The following is a 25,444-nucleotide window of genomic DNA, read 5'->3' as shown; positions in this document are numbered from 1 at the left end:
ATGCCTGTAATCCCAGCACTTTGGGAGGCTGAGGCGGGCAGATAACAAGGTCAGGAGATCGAGACCATCCTGGCTAACACGGTGAAACCCCATCTCTACTAAAAATACAAAAAATTATCCGGGCGTGGTGGCGGGCGCCTGTAGTCCTGGCTACTCGGGAGGCTGAGGCAGGAGAATGGCGTGAGCCCAGGAGGCAGAGCTTGCAGTGAGCCAAGATCGCGCCACTGCACTCCAGCCTGGGCGATTGAGCAAGACTCCATCTCAAAAAAAGAAAAGAAACCTAGAAAAAGCAGGTGGGGAGCCTGCAAAGAAAGAAGGAAAAAGGTGTCAGCTGGGCACAGTAGCTCTGAGCCACCTGTAATCCCAACACTTTGGCAGGCTGAGGTGGATGGATCACGTGAGGTTAGGAGTTCAAGACCAGCCTGGACAACATGGTGAAACCCCACCTCTACTAAAAATACACAATTAGCTGGGCATCGTGGCGGGTGCCTGTAATCCCAGCTACTCAGGAGGCTGAGGCAGGAGAATCGCTTGAACCTGAGAGGCGGAGGTTGCAGTGAGCCAAGATTGCACCACTGCACTCCAGCCTGGGCAGTAGAGCTAGACTCCATCTCAAAAAAGAAAAAAAATATGTTTAGAGTTTTTTCAGAAGACAGGAACTCTGTTTCTATCTTCCGTGGCATCCCTTTTGACGAGAATAAGGATTTAGTTTATTTTAATGCCATGATATTGTTAGGTAAAATGGTTAGTAGAAAGTATGACACAGAGTAGCAATTTGGTAAGCATTAGTAAATAATGTCAAGGAAATTAACCAAACTGCTTTGAGAGTCTCAACTTGTTAAATCTCAGTTGGCTCAGCTGATCTGTTAAGACACTTGTAGCTGACACATATCCTTTTTTCATTTTTTTTCTTGATTAATTAAATCAAGAATTTTGCTCAGGGAAGGTGATCATATCCCCAACTCAGGAATAAATCCTAATTAGCCTAAGCCAGTTTGATATGCTCATTCCCTTGCCAGTGGGTTTTTATTGTTGTGGTTGTGGTTGTTGTTTCTGAGATGGAGTTTGCTCTTGTTGCCCAGGCTGCAGTGCAATGGTGCGATCTTGGCTCACCGCTGTCTCCGCCTCCTGAGTTCAAGCAGTTCTCATGCCTCAGCCTCCCGAGTAGCTGGCATTACAGGCAAGCGCCACCACACCCAGCTAATTTTGTATTTTTAGTAGAGACGGGGTTTCTGTTGGTCCGGCTGGCCTCGAACTCGTGACCTCAGGTGACCCGCCCATCTCGGCCTTCCAAAATGCTGGGATTACAGGTGTAAGCCACGCCACTTGGCCAGCCTATGTTTGTTTTAGGAATTGGTGGGTGATAAAATTTTGGCCAGTGAGAGAGCTATATATGTTTTTTGTCTGTTTGTTTGAGACTAAGTCTCGCTCTGTCGCCCAGGCTGGACTGCAGTGGTGCAATCTTGGCTCACTGCAAGCTCTACCTCCCAGGTTCACACCATTCTCCTGCCTCAGCCTCCTGAGTAGCTGGGACTACAGGCGCCCGCCACCATGCCTAGCTAATTTTTTGTATTTTTTTTAGTAGAGAAGAGTTTTCACCATGTTAGCCAGGATGGTCTTGATCTCCTGACCTCGTGATCTGCCTGCCTCGGCCTCCCAGAGTGCTAGGATTACAGGCGTGAGCCGCTGCGCCCAGCCTATATATGTATTTTTAAAAAGGAGTATTGTTGGTCTTTATTATTATTATTATTATTATTTTATTATTTTTGAGACAGAGTTTTGTTCTTGTCACCAAGGCTGGAGTGCAATGGCACGATCTCGGCTCATTGCAACCTCTGCCTCCAGGGTTCAAGCGATTCTCCTGCCTTAGCCTCCCAAGTAGCTGGGATTACAGGCGCCCGCCACCATGCCCAGCTAATTTTTGTATTTTTAGTAGAGACGGGGTTTCGCCATGTTGGCCAGGCTGGTCTCAAACTCCTGACCTCAGGTAATCCACCCACCTTGGCCTCCCAAAGTGCTGGGATTACAGGCATGAGCCACCGCGCGCAGCCTGTTTTTATTATTTTTGATACAGAGTCTCATCCTGTTGCCCAGGCTGGAGTGCAGTGGTACAATCTTGGCCCACTGCAAACTCCGCCTCCTGGGTTCAAGCAATTCTCCTGCCTCAGCCTCCTGAGTAGCTGGGATCACAGGCGCGCACCACCATGCCTGGCTAATTTTTGTATTTTTAGTAGAGACGGTATTTCACCATGTTGGTCAGGCTGGTCTCGAACTCCAGACCTTAGGTGATCCACCCACCTCAGCCTTCCAAAGTGCTGGGATTACAGGCATGAGCCACTACGCCCCACGCCCTGTCTGGCCTTTATTTTTTTTCCAAAAGATTTTCTCACATAAAAAGAAACCCTGAAAAAGAAACAGGCTTTTCCTCTCCTGGAAATGTAGCTGTCTTGACTGGGCTTGACTGAGGACAGAGCCAATTTTCTGAGGATGGCAAAATGGAAAATGGGAAGAACTCAAGCTATTGGTGATGATATCAAGCCCAGAAATTACCAGCTCTGGAGCCTTTGTAGATATTATTAATGTGACGTAATCAATTATCTGTGTTGTTTAAAAAAAAAAAAAATGGAAGGGGTCCAGGTGCGGTGACTCACACCAGTAATCCCAGCACTTTGGGAGGCAGAAGGGGATGGATCACTTGAGGTCAGGAGTTTGAGACTAGCCTGGTAAACATGGTGAAACCCTGCCTCTACTAAAAATACAAAAACTAGCCAGGCGCGGGGGCATGTACCTGTAATCCCAGCCACTTGGGAGGCTGAGGCAGGAGAATCTCGCTTGATCCCAGGAGGCGGAGGTTGCAGTGAGCCAAGATGGTGCCACTGCACTCCAGCCTGAGTGACAGAGAAAGACTCTGACTCAAAAAAAAAAAAAAAAAAAAAGGCCAGGTGTGATGGCTCACGCCTATAATCCCAGCACTTTGGGAGGCCGAAGCGGGTGGATCATGAGGTCAGGAGTTCAAGACCAACCTGGCCAACATGGTGAAACCCCCATCTCTAGTAAAAATACAAAAATTAGCTGGGCGTGGTGGCAGGCGCCTGTAGTCCCAGCTACTTGGGAGGCTGAGGCAGAGAATGCTTGAACCCAGGAGGCGGAGGTTGCAGTGAGCTGAGATCGCGCCACTGCACTCCAGCCTGGGCGACTGAGCGAGACTCTGTCTCAAAAAAATAAAAAAATAAAATACATTAAAAAAAAATGGAAGGGGTGTGTGGGGATCTTTGGAGCAAAGCTCTTTCTGCTGCATGTACTTGTTTCAGACAAGTTAGGACTTCCCCATAAGTTTGTGGGGACACAACTTAACCCGTAACACATCTCTATGGGAGCGACTGTCAAAAGCAGAGTCAGGTTCAAGGGACTCACCTGGAGGGTTTACCCACTCCCTCCGTCATGCACTGAATATTTACTGAGGGCCTTGCCTGTGCCTGGGCTTGTGCTGGAGATGTTCAGGTCAGGCAGGATGGATGGGGGGCTTTGATGCGCATGCCCACATCACAGCCTGGAAAGATTCTGTGCAGCCGGGCGCGGTGGCTCACGCTTGTCATCCCAGCACTTTGAGAGGCCGAGGCAGACGGATCACCTGAGGTCGGGAGTTTGAGACCAGCCTGGCCAACATGGTGAAACCCTGTCTCTACTAAAAATACAAAAATTAACCAGGCGTGGTGATGGGCTCCTGTAATCCCAGCTACTCCAGAGGCTGAGGCAGAAGAATCGCTTGAGCCCAGGAGGCAGAGGTTGTAGTGAGCCAAGATGTGCCATTGCACTCCAGCCTGGGTGACAGAGCGAGACTTTGTCTAAAAAAAAAAAAAAAAAAAAAAAAAAAAAAAAAGTCATGCAACACTGGGAACAGGTGACTCAGAGTCCCACCCTCCTGTGTTTATAGAAGGAATGTACTTAAAGGGCTGAAATGCAAGGTAGGCAGTTCTGAGTGCCAGCAAGGATGGCAGGAGAGGAGACAGAGGGTCTGGGGAGGGCACCTTAGCTCCATCCAGCTAAGGCTGAGAATGGCTCTCTGTGGAGGGAGTGACCTTTGAACTGTACCTTGAATGATTGGTAGGAGTTGGAGAAGAGGCAGTGCAGAGGGGCCGTTCCAGGTGGGGCACAGGGTGCACACAGGCTTGCAGGTGGGAGGAAAGGGTCGGGCAGGTGTGGGAAGGGGCTGAGCTCAGCTGGAGTGAGGGGTGTGTGACATGAGGGGTGGTATGGCAGCTTGAGAAGGCCAGCTGGAGCCAGTAAGTAATACAGTTCAGAAATTCTTACTGTAATGGGAAGACTCTTAAGAGCATCTTTTGGTGTACATTTGTTCAACAAGATGCCAGCCACTGAATATTCTGGCTAGTTACGGTTTTGTCATAGTATTCTTAAAATGGTTAAAGAGGCCAGGCGCGGTGGCTCACGCCTATAAATCCAGCACTTTGGGAGGCTGAGGTGGGCAGATAGCTAGAGCCTGGGAGTTTGAGACCAGCCTGGCCAACATGGGGAAACCCTGTCTCTACAAAAAATACAAAAATTAACCGGGTGTGGTGGCACTCGCCTGTAGTTGCAGCTACTTAGGAGGCTCAGGCAGGAGAATCACTTGAACCCGGGAGGCAGAGATTGCAGTGAGCCGAGATCATACCACTGCACTTCAGCCTGGTTGAGCAGAGTGAGAACCTGTCTCAAAAAAACAAAAACAAACAAAAAATGGTTAAAGAGTGTCTTCTTAATGTGTTTGATGTACATTTCATCTGTGTGTTAACTTTTAGGGAAGAAGGAGGGGCCGGCGTCAGTGACGTCAGCGAGACCGAGGTGAGCGTGGGCGTTGCCAGTGGTGCTCTGTCAGTGCCTATGGTAGGTACAGCCTGAGACGGCCCCTTAGGGACCATTTGCCCACACGGTGGGAGAGAGGGCGCGGGGCCTGGGAGGGACACCTGATGGTCTGGCTAAAGCACCTGCCCCAGTTGCTTAGTGAAATGTGGATGAGGATGTTTGGCCCGTCTGCCTCGGTAGGTTTGGGGTCTCACACCTGAAAGCGTTGAGGCCTGGGGAAGCACTGTGTGAGAATCGCGCACAGCCTTCCTGGTCTCCAGTCACTACTCTTCTGTCACCTCCAGGTAGATGTCAGTGGCTGGTGTGAGGTCACCCACTAAGATGCTTGCTTTAAGTACAACATGTGAACCATGCAGCCTGGACGGCGGTGGTTGGGGGGTGGTCCCCAGGCCGCAAGCAGGATTCATCAGGAAATCACAGCTGTGGAGGCTGAAATCACATAGTGAAAATGAAAAGTTCCCTGAGCCATTGGCGTGGCCCCGTGTCTGCGGGTGTGAGGGGTGTGGAATCGGCTCACGCTCTGGGATGCAGCTCCCGTGGTCCCCATGTCTTCGGGTGTGAGGGGTGTGGGATGGGCTCACACCTGGGGTGTGGCTCCTGTGGCCCCCGTGTCTGCAGATGTGAGGGGTGTGGGATGGGCTCACGCTCTGGGGTGCGGCTCCCTTGGCCCCCATGTCTGTGGGTGTGAGGGGTGTGGGATGGGCTCACGCTCTGGGGTGCGGCTCCCGTGGTCCCCGTGTCTGTGGGTGTGAGGGGTGTAGGATGGGCTCACGCTCTGGGGTGCGGCTCCCATGGTCCCCGTGTCTGCGGGTGTGAGGGGTGTGGGATGGACTCACGCTCTGGGGTGTGGCTCCCGTGGTCCCCTTGTCTGCGGGTGTGAGGGGTGTGGGATGGACTCACGCTCTGGGGTGCGGCTCCCGTGGTCCCCGTGTCTGTGGGTGTGAGGGGTGTGGGATGGGCTCACGCTCTGGGGTGCGGCTCCCGTGGTCCCCGTGTCTGTGGGTGTGAGGGGTGTGGGATGGGCTCACGCTCTGGGGTGCGGCTCCCGTGGTCCCCGTGTCTGTGGGTGTGAGGGGTGTGGGATGGGCTCACGCTCTGGGGTGCGGCTCCTGTGCTTTTATTGTCATCTTGGTGTGACTGCTGAGGTTCCACGTGCACCATATCGGATCACCTAACAGCAGTCCTTTATACAGCACCTTGTAGCTTGCAGAGAGCGGTTCTGTTTATTGCTCATTGACCCTGTGACCTGGGTGTTGTCATCATCCTGCCAAAGGCCAGGTTCACAGAGGGAAGTGATGGGCTGTGTGGAGAGAGGCGGCACTTTAGAGTAGTATCATCCCGGCTTTGAATCAGGGCACCCGGACTCCCTTGAGTCTGTTTCCTTTTCTTCTCTTCTCTTCTCTTTTGTTTTTCCTTCCTTTTCTTTTCTGACAGAGTCTTGCTGTGTCGCCCAGGCTAGAGTGCAATGGTGCGATCTTGGCTCACTGTGACCTCCGCCTCTCGGGTTCAAGCAATTCTCCTGCCTCAGCCTCCTGAGTAGCTGGGATTACAGGCACATGCCACCACGCCCAGCTAATTTTTGTATTTTTAGTAGAGACGGGGTTTCCCCATGTTGGCCAGGGTGGTCTTGAACTCCTGACCTCAGGTGATCCGCCCACCTCAGCCTCCCAAAGTGCTGGGATTGTAGACATGAGCCACTGCACCCAGCTGAGTCTGGTTCTTACACAGGCTCTTAACTGTTGAGCCTCAGCTTCCTCATTGGTGCAGTGGGGATGATGATGATAATAGTGAATGTCTCTTGAGTGCTTTTTTTTTTAAGACAGGGTCTCACTCTGTCCCCCAGGTTGGAGTGCAGTGGCGTCATCCTGGCTCACAGCAGCTTGACCTCCCAGATTCAAGTGATCCTCCTGCCTCAGCTTCCCAAGTAGCTGGGACTATTGGTGCATGCCACCACGCCCAGCTAATTTTTGTATTTTTTTGTAGAGATGGGGTTTTGCCATGTTGCCCAGGCTGGTCTCAAACTCTTGGGCTCAAGTGATCCGCCTGCCTCGGCCTCTCAAAGTGCTGGGATTATAGGCGTGAGCCACCGCGCCCGGCCAGAAGATTGTCTTAAGTACAACGTGTGAATTGTACAGGCCAGATGCCTGTGGTGTGGGGGTTGCCAGGGTGGGGAGGCAGCCTCCTGTAGCCTTCCTGGTTGGAGCCGGGGTGGGAGCCTTGAATCTTGGGCTGCCTGAGCAGTTTGAAAACGAGACTTTTCAGAGCAGACCGAGGTCCAGAGTCCTCCTGTAACTATGATAGCTCCGAGTCCCACAGTGGCGCTGACAGGCCTGGGACAGCAGCCAGTTTCTCCATCTGAACTGAGCATCCCTCACGTGCCAGGCATGGAGCTGGGCCCTGGGCACATGGCAGTGAAGAAGAAAGCAAGCCAGCTCCCTGGCCCCCAGCAGGGACAGCAGATGCTTGATACAGAGCTCCAGGGTTGCCGAGGGGTACAGCACCTTGTTTGGAGGGTCAGGGAGGCTTTGTGGAGCAAGCGACATTCATTTATGCTGGCAGATGAGTGGGAGGCGGCTTAGCCAGGCAGAGATCGAGGGCAGCATGCTGCAGGCGGAGGGGCCCAGTGTGTGCGAGGCCTGTGGCAGGAGAGAGAGTGGGCAGAGAAGCCCAGCGTGGCAGAACAGAGGGTAAAGGAGAAGGTGGTGTGAGGTGTACCTGGGGAAGCAGGTGAGGGCCAGGGGTCTGTGTGTTTAAGTGCCCTGGGGAGTCATGGAGGTTATTAAATGGGAGTGATGTCGTCAGATAAACAATTTTTTTTTTTTGAGGTGGAGTCTCACTCTGTCACCCAGGCTGGAGTGCAGTGGTGCGATCTCCGCTCACTGCAATCTCCGCCTCCCGGGTTCACACCATTCTCCTGCCTCAGCCTCCCAAGTAGCTGGGACTACAGGCGCCTGCCACCGCACCCGGCTAATTTTTTGTATTTTTAGTAGAGACGGGGTTTTACTGTGTTAGCCAGGATGGTCTCGATCTCCTGACCTCGTGATCCACCTGCCTCGGCCTCCCAAAGTGCTGGGATTACAGGCGTGAGCCACCATGCCTGGCCCAGATAAACACTTGTTAAAAAATTATTTTATTTTTATTTTATTTGATTTATTATTATTATTATTATTTTGAGATGGAGTCTCGCTCTATCGCCCAAGCTGGGGTGCAGTGGCGCAATCTCTGCCCACTGCAACCTCCACCTCCCAGGTTCAAGTGATTCTCCTACCTCAGCCTCCCGAGTAGCTGGGATTACAGGCGCATGCCACCATGCCTGGCTAATTTTTTGTATTTTTAGTAGAGACAGGGTTTCACCGTGTTAGCCAGGATGGTCTCAATCTCCTGACCTCATGATCTGCCCACCTTGGCCGCCCAAAGTGTTGGGATTACAGGCGTGAGCCACCGCGCCCGGCCTATTTTTATTTTTTGCGATGGAGTCTCGCTCTGTCGCCGAGGCTGGAGGGCAGTAGTGCGATCTCAGCTCACTACAACCTCTGCCTCCCGGGTTCAAGCGATTCTCCTGCCTCAACCTCCCGAGTAGTTGGGATTACGGGTGCGCACAACCACACCCGGCTAATTTTTGTATTTTTAGTAGAGATGGGGTTTCACCACATTGGCCACGCTGGTCTTGAACTCCCAACCTCAGGCGATCCGCCTGCCTCGGCCTCCCAAAGTGCTGGGATTACAGGCATGAGCCACCACGCCCAGTCCAGATAAACACTTACGGTCACTCTGCAGTTACAGAGGGTGACTTGAAGTAGGGAGACAGGCAGTGCCTGGAGGGATGTGGGACAGGCATGCTGATCCCCACTCACCCATCGGAAGTCGGCCCGAGGGTCCCCTTCTCAGGGTGGCCCTCCCCAGCTGCCCTGTCTGCGGCTCTCAGAGCCCCATGTGCCCCTCCTTTGTGGCTCCTGGCACACTTGCAGTTGAACATTCCCGGGTGGTGATTTGATGGCTGCCTCTATCTCCCACCAGACCAGGGTTTCTCAGCCTTGGCACAGTTGACATTTGGGGCTGGATAATTGGTTGTGAGGGGTCATCTGTGCAGTCGGACATCGAGCAGCATCCCTGGCCTGGACATGCCCGATGCCAGAGGCATCCCCTGGTCATGACAACCAGACTCTCTAGACATTGCCAGGTGTCCCCTGGGAGATGGAATCACTCCTGGTTGAGAACCATTGCCGGGGTAAGATCGAGTTTGGGATGGGCATGCTGTTTAGAGGATTCCTTGGGTTTAAAGGGAAGTGAGCTGTTGAAGTTTCATATCTCTAATATTTTGATCTCTTCCAGGATTATGGCAGGGAAAGTAAAATGGGTCACTGATATCGAGAAGTCAGTGCTGATCAATAACTTTGAAAAGAGAGGATGGGTCCAAGTGACAGAAAACGAGGACTGGAATTTTTACTGGTAAGCATACACAGCAGGGCTGGGTTGTTTCTCTGAGGCTTACGTATCGGTTTTACTAATTCCAGTGCCTCCCAGAGAGTGGCCTCAGAGCCACTGTCTCCTGTCATTGTGCCATCTCCCCGCACACATTTTTCCTTAAGGTTTTTTGTGAGAGTATGTGTTGTGGTGTGTTCCCACATCACTGTGTTCACCCTGGGGTATGAAGTCCGGGGTGTTTCAGCACAGCAACCCTGTGGGGAGTTTGGGTGAGAAACAAGAGCCTCAGCCCTCCCCTTCCAGTGAGCGTGCGTTATAGCTGGGCCAGAGGACAGGACAGAGTCTTGCTCTGTCACCCAGGCTGGAGTGCAATGGTGCGATCTCAGCTCATTGCAATCTCTGCCTCCTGGGTTCAAGCGATTCTCCTGCCTTAGGCTCCCAAGTACCTGGGATTACAGGCGCCACCACACCTGGCTAATTTTTTTGTGTTTTTAGTAGAGACGGGGTTTCACCATGTTGGCCGGGCTGGTCTTGAACTTTGTGATCCACCCGCCTCGGCCTCCCAAAGTGCTGGGATTACAGGTCTAAGCCAAGCGCCTGGCCACATTTTTTTCTTTTTTTGTAGAGACAGGGTCTTGCTATGTTGCCTAGGCTGGTCTTGAATTCCTGGCCTCAAGGGACCTTCCCATCTCGGCCTCCCAAAGTGCTGGGATTACAGGCATGAGCCACCATGTCCGGCCATGAATAAGAAGCAGTTTGGAGTTATTCTTTTTTTCTTTTTTGGTCATAAAGCTGCTGTTTATTTATTTATTTATTTATTTCAGAGGCAGAGTCTTCCCATGTTGCCCAGGCTGGTCTCAAACTCCTGGACTCAAGTGATCTTCCCACTTCAGCCTCCCAAAGTGTTGGGATTACAGGCGTGAGCCACTGTACCCAGCCTTCGGAGCTATTCTCAACAACAGCAAAAAATGGAATGAAATGAAGAAAAAGGCTAAACAGTGTAATAGTCTTGGCTAATTGATACATATATTTTTTTTTCTTTCTTTCTTTCTTTTTTTTTTTTTTTTTTTGAGACGAAATTTCGCTCCTGTCACCCAGACTGGAGTGCCATGGGGCAATCTCGGCTCATTGCAACCTCCACCTCCTGGGTTCAAGCGATTCTCCTGCCTTAGCCTCCCTAGTAGCTGGGATTACAAGCATGTGCCACCACGCCTGGCTTATTTTGTATTTTTAGTAGAGACGGGGGTTTCTCCATGTTGGTCAGGCTGGTCTCGAACTCCCGACCTCAGGTGATCCGCCCGCCTTGGCCTCCCAAAGTGCTAGGATTACAGGCGTGAGCCACTGTGCCTGGCCAAGCTAATTGATATTTTGAGAGCTCTTGTTCTGGCCGTCATGCCCGTAATCCCAGCACTGTGGGAGGCCAAGGCCGGTGGATCACTTGAGGCCAGGAGTTGGAGACCAGCATGACCAACATGACAAAACCTTGTCTCTACTAAAAATACAAAAAAACTAGCTGGGTGTGGTGGTGCCTGCCTGTAATCCCAGGAACTCGGGAGATTGAAGCAGGAGAATCGCTTGAACCCAGGAGGTGGAGGTTGCAGTGAGCTGAGATCGCGCCACTGCACTCCAACCTGGGTGACAGTGAGACTCTGTCTCAAAAAAAATAAATAAATAAATAAATAAAAAAGAAGAGCTTCTGTTCTAAGCACTAAATGTACAATCAGGTTTACAGAAAAATTGGTTGGGGTAAAATACTGGAAACAACTAAATGTTAAACAGTATGGGGGGGTGGGTTAAGTACTTTGAGTGGATTATGGTGCAGCCGTTAAAATAATTATGATGGGCTGGGCACAGCGGCTCATGCCTGTAATCCCAGCACTTTGGGAGGCCAAGGCGGGTGCATCACCTGAGGTCAGGAGTTGGAGACCAGCCTAGCCAACTTGGTGAAACCCCATCACTACAAAAATACAAAAATTATCTGGGTGTGGTGGTGCGCACCTGTAATCCTAGCTGCCCGGGAGGCTGAGGCAGGCAAATGGCCTCAACCTGGGAGGCAGAGGTTGCAGTGAGCTGAAATCACACCACTGCACTCCAGCCTGGGTGACAGAGTGAGACTGTACCTCAAAAAATAAAATAAATAAATAAATAAATAAATAAATAAATAAATAAATAGACCGGGCGCAGTGGCTCACACCTATAATCTCAGCACCTTGGGATGCCCAGGCAGGTGGATCACCTGAGGTCAGGAGTTTGAGACCAGCCTGGCCAACCATGGCCAACATGGTGAAACCCTGTCTCTACTAAAAATACAAAAATTAGCTGGGCTTAGTGGCAGGCGCCTGTAATCCCAGCTACTTGAGAGGCTGAGGCAGGGAGAATTGCTTGAACCCAGGAGGCGGAGGTTGCAGTTAGCTAAGATCGCACCACTGCACTCCAGCCTGGGCGACACAGCAAGACTGTCTCAAAAAAAAAAAAAGAATAATTGCAATGAATTGAAACTTATCATATGTATTTGAATTTATAAGTTCATACAACTGCAAACAGAAAAATACCCCAAAAGCCACATACCCAATTTGTGGCAGATTAAAGATGGCCACAGGCCAGGGCATAGAACTCTTGGGCACAGTGGCTCATGCCTGTAATCCCAGCACCTTGCGAGGAGTTTGAGACCAGCCTGGGCAGTATACTGAGACCCTGTCTCAAAAAAATTAGCTGGGTGGTGGGGTGCCTGGGTGCAGTGACTCATGCCTGTAATCCCAGCCTTTTGGGAGGTGGAGGCAGACAGATCTCTTGAGCCCAGGAGTTTGACACCAGCCTGTGCAAATGGTGAAACCTCATCTCTACAAACAAATACAAAAATTATCCAGGCATAGTGGTTCGTGCCTGTAGCCCCAGCTACTTGAGAGGCTGAGGTGGGAGGCTTGCTTGAGCCCAGGAGGTCAAGACTACAGTGAGCCTTGATTGTGCTACTGCACTCCAGCCTGGGCAACAGAGTGAGACCTTGTCTCTAAAAGAAAGAAAGAAAGAGAGAAAATAAAGATGGTGGCCAGGCGCGGTGGCTCACGCCTGTAATCCCAGCACTTTGGGAGGCCGAGATGGGCGGATCACAAGGTCAGGAGATCGAGACTATCCAGGCTAACACAGTGAAACCTCATCTCTACTAAAAATACAAAAAAATTATCCGGGCGTGGTGGCGAGTGCCGGTAGTCCCAGCTACTCGGGAGGCTGAGACAGGAGAATGGCGTGAACCCGGGAGGCGGAGATTGCAGTGAGCCGAGGTCACGCCACTACACTCCAGCCTGGGCGACAGAGCAAGACTCCGTCTCAAAAAAAAAAAAAAAAAGAAAAAGAAAATAAAGATGGTTGCGAAGTTCTTGCCACTACTTCACTCTAAAGTTGAGGTCTTTGTCCTTTCCTCGTGAAAGACTCTTTGACCACATTGACCAGTGGAATACAGTAAAAATCATACATGCCTGGGCCCAGGCCAATTCCTCTGTTGGAAACATGTGGGTGCCCTGAGCTGTCCTGTGAGAAGGTGCCATCCTGAAGCCCTCGTGCCACAGCGGCCACAGGTAGGTGTTGTACATGGCAGTGCAGCTGTGCCCACCTTCCAGCCTCCAGCTAGGCCTGCCAAGGTGTTAGACATGAAGAAAGCCTTCTGGGACCCCCAGCTCATCCCATCGGCTGGCTCTACACTTCTGAATGACCTCAGTCAGTGCCACAAGGAGAAGTAGAATTGCTCAGCTGAGCCCTGCCCCAATTCTCAGCCTTCCAAAGTGCTGGATTATAGGCCGGCATGGTGGCTCACGCCTGCAATCCTAGCACTGTGGGAAGCCAAGTCGGGCAGATCACCTGAGGTCAGGAGTTTGAGACCAGCCTGGCCAACGTGGCAAAACCCCGTCTCTACTAAAAATATAACAATTAGCGGTGTGTGGTGGTTCATGTCTGTAATCCCAGCTACTCAGGAGGCTGAGGCAGGAGAATGGCTCGAACCTGCGAGGCAGAGGTTGCAGTGAGCCAAGATCGTGCCACTGCACTCCAGCCTGGGCAACAGAGTAAAACTCTATCTCCAAAAACAAATAAACAAAACAAAACAAAACAAAACAAAAGTGCTGGATTACAGACGTGAGCCACTGCGCCCGGCCAGCTCTTTATTTTGAAAAACTGATAAATAAAGGGAAAGAATCAAGCACTGATTCTGTGTTTTGTGTATGAACTGTTCTTGAGGCACCTAGATTGTTGATGAAGGGAAGCTTGTCCCTATAGAAGTATTCCTGCCGTTGCCAAGCACGGTGGCTCACACCTGTAACTGCAGCACTTTGGGAGGCTGAGGCGGCAGGATCAGTTGAATCCAGGAGTTTGAGACCAGCCTGGGCAACATGGCAAATCCCCATCTCTACAAAAAAAATTATAAAAATTTAGCAGGACACGGTGGCCCCTTCCTGTAGTCCCAGCTACTTGGGAAGCTGAGAGAGGAGGATTGCTTGAGCCTGGGAGGCAGAGGTTGCAGTGCGGCGAGATCAAGTCATGACACCCCGGCCTGGGCAACAGAGCGAGACCCTGTCTCAAAAATAAATACATACATACATACATACATATTGCTTTTTTAGTTCTGATAATTATATAAAATAGGATATCACATAATTAAACATGGAGTCTTGAACCGTTAGAGAATCTTACAGAAATGCTTTGGATGAAATAATATGATGTCTGGGAATTGGTTCAGAACATGCCAGTGCTGAGGGGGGTGGAGGTTCAGACTAAACGAGACTGGCCACGTGCCGTTAACTGGTGAAGTGGGGCAATGGGGGTCCCTTAACGCTTTCTCTCTCCTTCTGAGTGTGATGGAGGTTTTCCATAATAAAAAGTCAAAAAAGATTCCCTTTATTCTAGCCATCCTGGAATCCACAGCAACCCTTCGGGGGCTCCGGGCACCCTCTCTAGGGTGGTGCTGTGGGGTGGGGGTAGGCTGGGGGCACAGGGACCACAGTGCAAGAGGCTGGGGCCACTTGCCATGTTTTGTGACTCTGGCTCTGAGCAGGGGCCAGCCCTTCCTCCGTACCCCTTCCCTGCTTCTCTGGGGGTTGGTGAGGACAGGCGTGTGGCGGGGAGACCGTGGCTTTCTCAGAGGCTCAGAAGGAATCTATTTCTCTTTCAACTCTGTCGTCCCCAACTTGCCCCTTCAGCAGACTCTCCAAGAATATCAAATACTGACTCAGGGCCCTTAAATAACCCCTGTGATTTTGTTTTTAAAGGCTCCTTGACCTTCCTGAATTTCGGTACAGATCCTGTTTAAATGAGTTTCCTGACTTCAGAGTCTGAAAAGGGTATATCTTTTATTTGTTGACAGTGTTATCATTAATCCGTGTTATCACTAATCAATAAACATCTATTGAGTGCCTGCTCCGGGCCAGAGAGGGAAACAGCTCAGAATCAGCACAGCTCCTGGCCCTCACACCACTTGGGTCCCGGCCTGTCCCTGGGCACCCATTCTCTGCTGCTGTGGGCCGGGCAACCCCTGGCTCAGGTGCCAGGGGATGTGGGAGTAGTGGTGAAGGGTGCTGAGGGTTCAGGGTGTTTGCGGGGACGGGAACAAAGGACTTCTGCCACACAGACATCACTGCCAAGTGTCTCTCCTGCTCATCTCTTTCAGGATGAGTGTGCAAACCATCCGAAATGTGTTCAGCGTTGAAGCTGGATATCGGCTCTCAGATGACCAAATAGTCAACCATTTTCCAAACCACTATGAACTGACCCGGAAGGACCTGATGGTGAAGAACATCAAAAGATACAGGAAGGAGCTGGAGAAAGAAGGGAGTCCTCTGGCAGAAAAAGATGAAAATGGAAAATACCTCTATCTGGGTTTGTGCGTCTTCCACCGGCTCATGTTTTCAGTAAACAGCTGAATTTTTTCTTTGGGGCGCGAGGCGCTGAGGTGGTGACTGTTGGCTTTGATGCGTGAGCATGTCCATGCGAGTTGTGGTGGCACCTGTTTCATTTCAGGTGTCTCCAGAATGAGGGAGAAGGAGGGGCCTGAGTGTGGCATCCTAGTTTCTGTGAGTGCCTTGGGAATTGCCTGGCATGGCGTTTTTTTTTTTTTTTTTTTGAGACAGAATCTCACTCTGTCATCCAGGCTGGAGTGTAGTGGCGCGATCTCAGCTCACTGCAACCTCCGCCTCCTGAGTTCAAGCAATTCTCCTGCCTCAGCCTCCCAAGTAGCTGGGACTACTGGTGCCCTCTACCATGCCCGACTAATTTTTTTTTTTTTTTTTTTTTTGTATTTTTAGTAGAGATGGGATTTCACCATATTGGCCAGGCTGGTCTCGAACTCCTGACCTTGTGATCCACCCGCTTCTGCCTCCCAAAGTGCTGGGATTATAGACGTGAGCCACCACACCCAGCCAGCATGGACTTTGTGTAAGCCAGAGGATGCCCTCAGCGCTCAGCCTGGGGAAATACTTCTTGAGCCACAGGCTGCCACGAGGGCTCATGACTGTGTCTGGCTATACCCAGGGAAGACAGTGTGTCCCTGTCCAAGTCCGGGATAAAAGCTGGACTGAATAGTTTCAGATTTCTTCACAAACCTGGGTAGAATTCTCTATCTGATCTCCCTGGGCCTCAGTTTCCTCGTCTGCTAAATGGGAATTATTACAGGGTTTACAGTAGCTCCCAGGTGGCCGTGGGGATTGAAAAATACAGGTTTGTAAGGTGCTTAGGTAGGCTCTATAAATGTAACTTGTGAGTGTTGCCCAGGGATTGTGCAGCAGAGGCCCTTGTTCTGTTAGCTGCTGGGTTGCGGTGGGGGACACTCAGCCCACAGGCCCTGGAAAGGCAAGGGCAAGATCTTTCTGTTCATGGCCACTGTTGGGCTGGCTGCTTACCAGTGCTGGGTGTCTTTGCCTTGCAGACTTTGTTCCAGTCACCTATATGCTGCCCGCTGACTACAACCTGTTTGTAGAGGAGTTCCGGAAGAGCCCGTCCAGCACCTGGATCATGAAGCCTTGTGGCAAGGCCCAGGGAAAGGGCATCTTCCTTATCAACAAGCTCTCACAGATCAAAAAGTGGTCCCGGGACAGCAAGACATCTTCGTAAGTGTGGGCAGCCACCCACTTTGTGTGCCAGGTCCCAGTTCACCGTTTTATGCTGTTCGCAGTCTTTGTGGGTTTTTGTTTGGTTTTTTTTTGACAGAGTCTCACTCTGTCGCCCAGGCAGGATTACAGTGGCACAATCTCAGCTCACTGCAACCTCCGCCTTCTGGGTTCAAGCGATTCTCCTGCTTCAGCCTCCCGAGTAGTTGGGATTACAGGCATGCGTCACCACGCCCAGCTAATTTTTGTATTTTTTTAATAGAGTTTTTTTTTTTTAAATAGAGATGGGGTTTTGCGGCTGGGCATGGTGGCTCATGCCTGTAATCTCAGCCCTTTGGGAGGCCGAGGTGGGTGGATCATGAGGTCAGGAGATCAAGACCAGCCTGGCCAAGATGGCGAAACTCCATCTCTACTAAAAATACAAAAAAAAAAAAAAAAATTAGCCAGGTGAGGTGGCAGGTGCCTGTAATCCCATCTACTCAGGAGGCTGAGGCAGGAGAATCGCTTGAACCCAGAAGGCAGAGGTTGCAGTGAGCTGAGATCGCGCCATGCACTCCAGCCTGGGTGACAGAGTGAGATTCTGTCTAAAAAAAAGAAAGAGAGAGAGGTGGGGTTTTGCCCTGTTAGCCAGGCTGGTCTCAAACTCCTGACCTCAGGGTGATCCACCCACCTCGGCCTCCCAAAGTGCTGGGATTACAGGCGTGATTCACTGTTCCTGGCCTGTTCTGTGGTCTTTGGCCATGAGCCACACAGCCCATGCTTGCTTTTACAGGCGTGCGTCATCTGTCACGTGGCGTCACGGTGGGGTTCTGTGGTTGTCTTCGTGTGATTAGTCCCAGACTCTGCCCAAGGCAGGCCATGAAGAAGGGTGTAGGTCATGGGCCAGGGCCTGCAGCCACTTTTTGATTACAGGCTGGTGTGAGAACCGCTCAGTCGTGGTGGTTCTGAGGCAGCGAGGCACCTGCCAAAGTCCTGGGACTCGTGGCCCTAGGGTCCTGGGTTTGAAGCCCAGTCTCACACGAAGTGGCTGAGCGTATTTTGTTCTTCAGACTCTCCATGTCTTACATTCTCCATCTGAGTAAACCGGGGACACCAGCAGCACCACTGCCATGGGGTTGTGATGGGGATGGAACGAGTTAACACATGTGAAATATGAAGCATCTGGGAGGAGCCGGGCACAGCCGATGGGCACAGCCGAGCAAGTGGTGGGGCAGTGGCCTCGTGGCAAGCCCAGGGGCCTGGGTCTGCTGGCTTCTCTGTCTTTGTTTTTTCTCAGCTGCTCAGAAGTGCCCGGGGCCCACCGGGGCAAAGCTTCTGTCTGATCCTTTTCCAGTGGGGAGATGACTCACTTGTCAGGAGTTCCCAGGGTGACAGGAGACACCTTCTCATTTTATAGCATGTTTACTTTTTTTTTTTTCTTTTGAGATGGAGTCTCACTCTGTTGCCCAGGCTGGAGTACAGTGGTACAATCTCAGCTCACTGCAACCTCACGCCTCCCAGGTTCAAGCGATCTGCCTACCTCAGCCTCCCAAGTAGCTGGGATCACAGGCACCCACCATGCCTGGCTAATTTTTTTATTTTTAGTAGAGATGGGGTTTTACCATGTTGGCCAGGCTGGTCTCTAACTCTTGACCTCAAGTGATCCACCCACCTTGGCCTCCCAAAGTGCTAGTATTACAGGGGGTGAGCCACTGTGTGTGGCCTAAAAAAAAATTTTTTTTTTTTTAAGACGGGATCATGGCTCACTGCAACCTCAACCTCCTAGGCCCAAGCGATCCTCCCACCTCAGCCTCCTGAGTAGCTGAGACTATAGGTACACACGACCACACCTGGCTAATTTTTCTTTTTTGTAGAGGCAGGGTTTCATCATGTTGCCCAGGTTGATCTCAAATTCCCGGGCTCAAGTGATCTGCCTGCCTCAGCCTCCCAAAGTGCTGGGACTACAGGTGTCAGCCACCATGCCCGGCCATGCTTAAATCTAATTACACTTTGCTAGCCCCCAGATGGCCAGGCCCGAGGAGCATTTCCCTGAGTGGACTCCTGGGGACTGTCCTGCAGCTGCTTGCACTGTCCCCTGGGGCAGGGGGTGTGTCCTCCATGGATACACCCCACCCCCATTTCCTTCCTGATGACCCAGCCCCTCACAGTGAGAGGCCGGGAGCGTGTTGCCAGCTGACGAGATGCACCTTTGGTCTTTACCATCCATTTTTTTTCTAGTAGCTTGATTTTTTTTTTAATTTTTTTTTTTTTTGAGACAGTGTCTCGCTCTGTCTCCCAGGCTGGACTGCAGTGGTGCGATCTCAGCTCACTGCAACCTCCACGTCCCAGGTTCAAGCGATTCTCCTGCCTCAGCCTCCTGAGTAGCTGGGACTACAGGCACCCGCCACCACACCTGGCTAATTTTTGTATTTTTAGTAGAGACAGGGTTTCACCATGTTGGTTAGGCTGGTCTTGAACTCCTGACCTCGTGATCCTCCTGCCTCGGCTTCCCAAAGTGCTGGGATTACAGGCCTCCAGTAGCTTGATTTTTTTAGAGCAGTTTTAGGTTTACTGCACAATTGAAGAAGATACAGAGATTTTTTTTTTCCTATACCCCTTCCCCACACATGCACGGCCTCCCCCCTTATCAGCATCCCCTACCAGAATTGTTAAAGTTAGCAAACTGATTAGCTGGGTGTCGTGGCACATGCCTGTAGTCTCAGCTACTTGCCAGGCTGAGGTGAGACTATCACTTGAGCCCAGGAGACTGCAGTGAGCTGTGATCGCACCACTGCACTCCAGCCTGGGCAACACAGCAAGACCATCTCAAAAAAAAAAATTTGGCCATGTGTGTGGCACAAGCCTGTAATCCCAGCACTTTGGGAGGCCAAGGCAGGCGGATCACTTGAGGTCAGGAGTTTGAGACTAGCCTGGCCGACATGGCAAAATCCTGTCTCTACTAAAAATACAAAAATTAGCCAGGCATGGTGGCTGGCGTCTGTAATCCCAGCTACTCAGGAGGCTGAGGCAGGAGAATCATTTTAACCCAGGAGGTGGAGGTTGCAGTGAGCCAAGATCACGCCAGTGCACTCCAGCCTGGGTGACAGAGGAAGACTGTGTCTCAAAAATATATATATATAAATAAAAATTGGCAGACTGACACCAGCCCATCATCACCCAAAGGCCATAGTTCACATTAGGGTTTACTCTTAGTGTTGTCCATTTTGGGAGCTTAGACAAATGTATAGTGACATGGATCCACCATTATTTTATTTATTTATTTTTTGAGATGGAGTCTTGCTCTATTGCCCAGGCTGGAGTGCGGTGGCAGGATCTTGGTTCACTGCAAACTCTGCCTCCCGGGTTCAAGCGATTATCCTGCCTCAGCCTCTGGAGTAGCTGGAATTACAGGCACCCGCCCCCATGCCTGGCTATTTTTGTATTTTTAGTAGAGACAGGGTTTCACCATGTTGGCCAGGCTGGTCTCGAACTCCTGACCTCAGGTGATCCACCCGCCTCGGCCTCCCAAAGTGCTGGGATTACAGGCGTGAGCCACCAAGCTCGTCCAGATCCACCATCATAGTAACATACGGAGTAGTTTCACTGCCCTCAAAATCCTCTGTGCTCTGCCTGTTTATCCCTAGTCTGTGGCAACCACAGATCTTTTTACTGTCTTTATTTATTTATTTACTTATTTATTTATTTGAGATGGAGTCTTGCTCTGTCACCCAGGCTGGAGTGCAGTGGTGCCATCTCAGCTCACTGCAACCTCCACCTCTTGGGTTCAAGTGATTCTCCTGCCACAGCCTCCTGAGTATCTGGGACTACAGGCACACACCACCACACCGGGCTAATTTTTTTTCTTTTTAGCAGAGACGGGGTTTCACCGTGTTGACCAGGCTCGTCTTGAACTCCCGACCTGAAGTGATCCACCCGCCTCGCCTCCCAAAGTGCTGGGATTACAGGCGTGAGCCACCGCGCCCAGCCAAAACTCTTTAATTTTTTAATTTTAATGAAGTCCGGCTTATCAGTTATTCCTTTCTTGGATTGTGTCTTCGTTATTGCATCTTTTACCATCTAATTTTTACTTTCTCTGCCATGTTTAGGTTTGTGTCTCAATCTAATAAGGAAGCCTACGTGATCTCTCTCTATATTAACAACCCGTTACTAATTGGCGGGAGGAAGTTCGACCTGCGCTTGTACGTTCTGGTGTCCACGTACCGTCCACTGCGCTGTTACATGTAAGCGTCCCTAAGGTTTTGGTTCCCTCTTGATTGTGTTTTCACCCAAAACGTCTTTCTTCTTAGCACCATTGTGAGGTTTCATAAAACAGTGCATGTGCGGTGCCTGGCACGGGGCAGGGATTGAGGGAAGTAAGAGCAGTCAGGCCCGATGCCGATGTGAGTCGTGTAAATCACACACACAAAAGCAGCTCTTTTTAGAGAATGAAGTGGTGTCTTTTCTTTTTGTTTCTCCTCAGAGTTTGAATTAATCTACATTCCCTCCTAGGTACAAGCTTGGGTTTTGCCGGTTCTGCACAGTGAAATACACCCCGAGTACCAGTGAGCTGGACAACATGTTCGTTCATCTCACCAACGTCGCCATCCAGAAACACGGGGTGAGTGTGTCCTTTCATTTGTGCTTACAGAAATGGACTGACTTTCAGGCCGGGTGTGGTGGCTCACGCCTGTAATCCCGGCACTTTGGGAGGCTGAGGCGGGTGGATCACCTGAGGTCAGGAGTTCGAGACCAGCCTGACGAACACAATGAAACCCTGTCTCTACTAAAAAAAAAAATACGGAAATTACCATGGTGGCTGGCGCCTGTAATTCTAGCTACTCGGGAGGCTGAGGCAGGAGAATCGCTTGAACCAGAAGGCAAAGGTTGCAGTGAGCCGAGATTGCACCATTGCACTCCAGCCTGGACAACTGAGCGAGACTCTGTCTCAAAAGAAAAAAAAAAAAAAAAGGACCGACTTTGTGGGTTTCTTTCTTCTATTTTTGCAAGAACAGGGTGGGTATAGAAGTGATACTCAAAGAGTATCCTGGTCTAAGGTCCGGCACTGATGGGACTGGGAGGCTCTAGGCATCAGGCGGGCTGGCCTAGGACACATCAGCTGAATGCCGTGGCTGGGTGGGGGCACCTGGAGAAAGAAGGCAGCAGGCTCAAGCCCTGCCTTTCTAGTTCTGTGGCCTCGGGCAAGTCAGTGTAACTCTCAGAGCCTCGGTTTCTCCATTTATAAAAGGAGATCATAGTATTACCTGGCGGGACTGTGGGAGGATGTCATGAGGTGACTTCTGCTTAGACCATCCCTGAGGTACCCTGCCTCAACTTACAATTTTTCAAGCTTCCAGTGGTATGAAAGTGACATGCATTCAGTAGGAACCGTACTTCAAGTACACATGCAACCGTTTGGTTTTTTACTTTGAGTACAGTAGTCAATAAATTATGTGAGGTATTTCACGCTTTATTATAAAATAGGCTTTGCCTTAGATGATTTTGCCCAACTTCAGGCTATTGTAAGTGTTCTAAGCATGTCTTAGATAGGCAAGGCTATGATATTCAGTAGGTTAGGTATAGAAAACGCACTTTTTTTTTCTTTTTGAGGCGGAGTCTCGCTCTGTTGCCCCGGCTAGAGTGCAGTGGCATGATCTCAGCTCACCACAACCTGTCTCCCAGGTTCAAGTGATTCTCCTGCCTCAGCCTCCTGAGGAGCTGAGACTACAAGCATGTGTCACCATGCCTGGCTAATTTTTGTATTTTAGTAGAGATGGGGTTTCACCATGTTGGCCAGGCTGGTCTCGAACTCATTTTCTCAAGTGATCCGCCCACCTCAACCTCCCAAAGTGCTGGGATTACAGGCGTGTGCCACTGCGCCTGGCGTTAAATAATGCAGTTTCTTTTTTTTTCTTTTTTCTTTTCTTTTCTTTTTTTTTTTTAAGAGACAGAGTCTTGCTCTGTTGCCAGGCTGGAGTGCAGTGCCGTGATCTCAGCTCACTGCAACCTCCGCCTCCCAGGTTCAAGCGATTCTCCTGCCTCAGCCTCCTGAGTAGCTGGGATCACAGGCGTGCGCCACCACGCCCAGCTAATTTTTGTATTTTTAGTAGAGATGGGATTTCCCCATGTTGGCCAGAATGGTCTTGATCTCTTGACCTCGTGATCCACCCTCCTCGGCCTCCCAAAGTGCTGGGATTAGAGGTGTGAGCTACTGCGCCCGGCCAAATCTACTTTCAACTTACAATATTTTCAACTTGCTATGGGTTTATCTGGACATAGCCCCATCGGAGGCCCCATCTGTACCCATTGAGTACCTATGTGAGTTGGTCCCCTTCTGAGTGCCCAGGACACAGTGATAGGCAAAGCCTACCTTAGTACCTACTCTCACAGATCCCAGAGCTTCCAGGGGAGATAGTCATCAAATAATCACCCTGATGAACATGAAATTACAAACTGAGCTGCTTGCTCTGAAAGTGAGGAACACACATCTAGAAGATCATGGAACAAAAGAAGCCCCTTATCCAGTGGTTGGAGAAGGCTTCCCTGCAAAGCGGTGCTGGAGCCGAGATCTGAAGCATGAGTAGGGATAATCCAGAGAGGGTGGAGAAGGTTCCATAGTAGTAGGTACAACGTGTGCCGAGGCCCTGTTGCCAGAGGGAGCATTACAGGGGCTGAAAGGACGCCAGGGTAGCAGGAGCCCCTGGCGTGAGGGCAGTGGATGGGGAGGGACTGGAGAGGCCAGCAAGGGCAGACACACAGGGCTTTGTGGACCCAGTTCAGGTTAGGGGCTCTAATTTCACCCCAACATAAACCAAAGGTCTCGTTTCTTTATGAAAGACTCCTTCTTTGATTTGAATCTTCTTTGGATGGAAGCCTTGAATGCTCTGGTCTGTTTTCTGATTTGAGGAGAAAGAGAGTGAGTATTGGTATGAAATATGCATTTCTGAAGAACCTGCTGAAGAGTTTGGTCAGACGAGGCTGGACTCGGTCCTCTGCCCATCACTTACCTCTGTGTGACTTGGGCAGCTCACCAGCCCTCTGGGCCCCACAGCTGCCAACAGGAGCCAGGGGTTCACCTTGCTGGTCTTGGGATGACGATGGCCACTGCTTACCGGGGCCAAGTGGCTTCCACATGTGGCTGGCCTAACTCGCTTCCCCTTCAGGTCTTCCTCAGAGTAAACCAAGCAAGCATCAGTTTTACAAATTTTATTTTTTATTTATGTATTTATGATTATTAGTTTTTTTAGACAGAGTCTTGCTCTGTCACCCACGCTGGAGTACAGTGGCAGGATCTCGGCTCACTGCAACCTCTGCCTTCCGGGTTCAAGCGATTCTTCTGCCTCAGCCCCCCGAGTAACTGGGGTTACAGGTGCACGCCACCACACCTGGCTGGGGTTTTTAGTAGAGACGAGGTTTCACCATGTTGGCCAGGCTGGTCTCGAACTCCTGACCTCAGGTGATCCTCTCACCCCAGCTTCCCAAAGTGCTGGGATTACAGGCGTGAGCCACCGCGCCTGGACTTTCTTTTAAAATATGGTTAATTCTCCTTTTATCTGCTTTGAGTCAGTGGTGTTTGCTCGAAGAGTTAGTAGGCTGGTTTTGTTTTAGTTCATGGTTCTCACTTTATACTTAGAAAATGAAATGTAGTCTCCTAACAATGTAATACATTTGGGTATTTTCTAGCTCTTTGCCTTCAAAGATAAGCATTGTATGGAGAATTAATTTTCAGGGGTGGCAAAACAGGAAGAGCTCAGAAGTGGCATCAGAACATTTGGGCTGGAGGCCCAGCCCCATCCCAGCCCAGGAGGAAAGCTTGGCCAAGTAACAGCTTCTCTGAGCCCGGCGTCCCCTGTGAAATGGGATGATAATGGCGTCTTCTCAAGGTTGTTAGAGAGTGATGAGTGTGGTGCTTTTAAACTGCAGTGTGAGCCCAGTGTCTTAGGTTGGCTTCCCCAGGAAAGACTCTGAGGTAGAAGTCGGCAAGCTGATGTTGCTGCAGTGGAGGCCTCTGCCCACCGTGGGGCGCTGTGGAGCAGGGGTGGCCCTGCAGAGCTGTCCTGGAGGGAGCAGGGGCTGACACCTGGCATCAGCCAGACATGGTATGCTGTTGCCTTGGGGAGGGCTTTCACCCTGGATTAGGCAGCTCCCTCAAGCCAAGGGCACTCTCAGTGAGGGTGGGTCTCAGCTAGAAGAATGAGTGCCTTGGTCTTGAAGGGTATCCCGGCAGCACTCCACAGCCTGTGCTGTGAGGCATAAATGATTAAGCCTGAGAGTATTAGGGAGATGAGCATTTTAAAATACCCACGGAAGGCCAAGCGCGGTGGCTCACAGTGCAGTAAGCCGAGATCGTGCCATTGCACTCCAGCCTGGGTGACAGAGTGAGACTCTGTCTCAAAAAACAAAAATAAAAACAGAAAAACCCCACATTAATAGGAGGCCCAGGTGGCCGGGCACAGTGGCTCATGCCTGTAATCCCAACACTTTGGGAGGCCAAGGCAGGAGGATCCCTTGAGGCCAGGAGTTCAAGACCAGTCTGGGCAACATAGTGAGACCTCTTCTCTACAAAAAATTTAAAAATTAGCCAGGCATAGTGGCACATGCCTGTAGTCCCAGTTACTTGAGAGGCTGAGGTGGGAGGATTGCTTGAGCTCAAGAGGTCAAGGTTGCAGTGCACCAAAGTAATGCCACCGCACTCCAGCTTGGGGGACAGAGTGAGACCCTGTCTTAAAACAAAACGGAAAATAGCCGGCCCAGATCTCCCTGGGGCAGGGGTCTGGATGTTTGCCTTGTTGCTGGATGCCCACACCCAGGGGGCACTCCAGAAATGCTTGGGGGATGCAACGGTTCCGCTGGGTTCCTCTGGGGTGCATAGCCTGAGGGATGCCTGCCCGCTTTCCCGTCACCAGGAGGACTACAACCACATCCATGGGGGCAAGTGGACAGTGAGTAACCTGCGGCTCTACCTGGAGAGCACCCGCGGCAAGGAGGTGACCAGCAAGCTGTTCGACGAGATCCACTGGATCATCGTGCAGTCCCTGAAGGCTGTGGCGGTGAGTTTGGTGCGGGCGGGGGAGCCGGCTCCCAGGGCCCGTTTG

The 25,444-nt window shown here is 50.9% G+C and overlaps 1 protein-coding gene across 2 annotated transcripts in view, besides 2 other annotated features; it reads left to right on the top strand.

Moving 5' to 3' along the window:
• TTLL1 (TTL family tubulin polyglutamylase complex subunit L1) overlaps positions 1-25,444 on the top strand; it is a 49,876-nt gene that overhangs the window by 4,609 nt on the left and 19,823 nt on the right. The window contains exons 2-9 of one of the 2 annotated variants that reach the window (NR_027779.2): positions 4,797-4,881; positions 9,193-9,309; positions 14,541-14,612; positions 14,939-15,179; positions 16,193-16,373; positions 20,459-20,593; positions 20,862-20,970; positions 25,256-25,399. Coding sequence is in view for 1 of the 2 variants with exons in the window: in NM_012263.5 (NP_036395.1) it covers positions 9,197-9,309; positions 14,939-15,147; positions 16,193-16,373; positions 20,459-20,593; positions 20,862-20,970; positions 25,256-25,399 (891 nt within the window). In the remaining variant the exon portion in view is untranslated. The remainder of the gene's footprint in view (positions 1-4,796; positions 4,882-9,192; positions 9,310-14,540; positions 14,613-14,938; positions 15,180-16,192; positions 16,374-20,458; positions 20,594-20,861; positions 20,971-25,255; positions 25,400-25,444) is intronic. The other variant, NM_012263.5, reaches the window with a different exon arrangement.
• Positions 5,214-5,735: an enhancer, noted in NCBI's record as "H3K4me1 hESC enhancer chr22:43475054-43475575 (GRCh37/hg19 assembly coordinates)". NCBI's record gives its function as "activates a minimal SCP1, AML or CMV promoter by ChIP-STARR-seq in naive H9 embryonic stem cells {active_cell/tissue: H9 hESC(naive)}" and the evidence as "EXISTENCE:reporter gene assay evidence [ECO:0000049][PMID:30033119]".
• Positions 5,736-6,258: an enhancer, noted in NCBI's record as "H3K4me1 hESC enhancer chr22:43474531-43475053 (GRCh37/hg19 assembly coordinates)". NCBI's record gives its function as "activates a minimal SCP1, AML or CMV promoter by ChIP-STARR-seq in naive H9 embryonic stem cells {active_cell/tissue: H9 hESC(naive)}" and the evidence as "EXISTENCE:reporter gene assay evidence [ECO:0000049][PMID:30033119]".

The sequence above is a fragment of the Homo sapiens genome, chromosome 22, assembly GCF_000001405.40.
Source record: "Homo sapiens chromosome 22, GRCh38.p14 Primary Assembly".
NCBI classification, from domain to species: Eukaryota; Metazoa; Chordata; class Mammalia; order Primates; family Hominidae; genus Homo; species Homo sapiens.
Note: the sequence above shows the minus strand (reverse complement) of the source record. Positions and strands in the feature narration are given on the sequence as shown.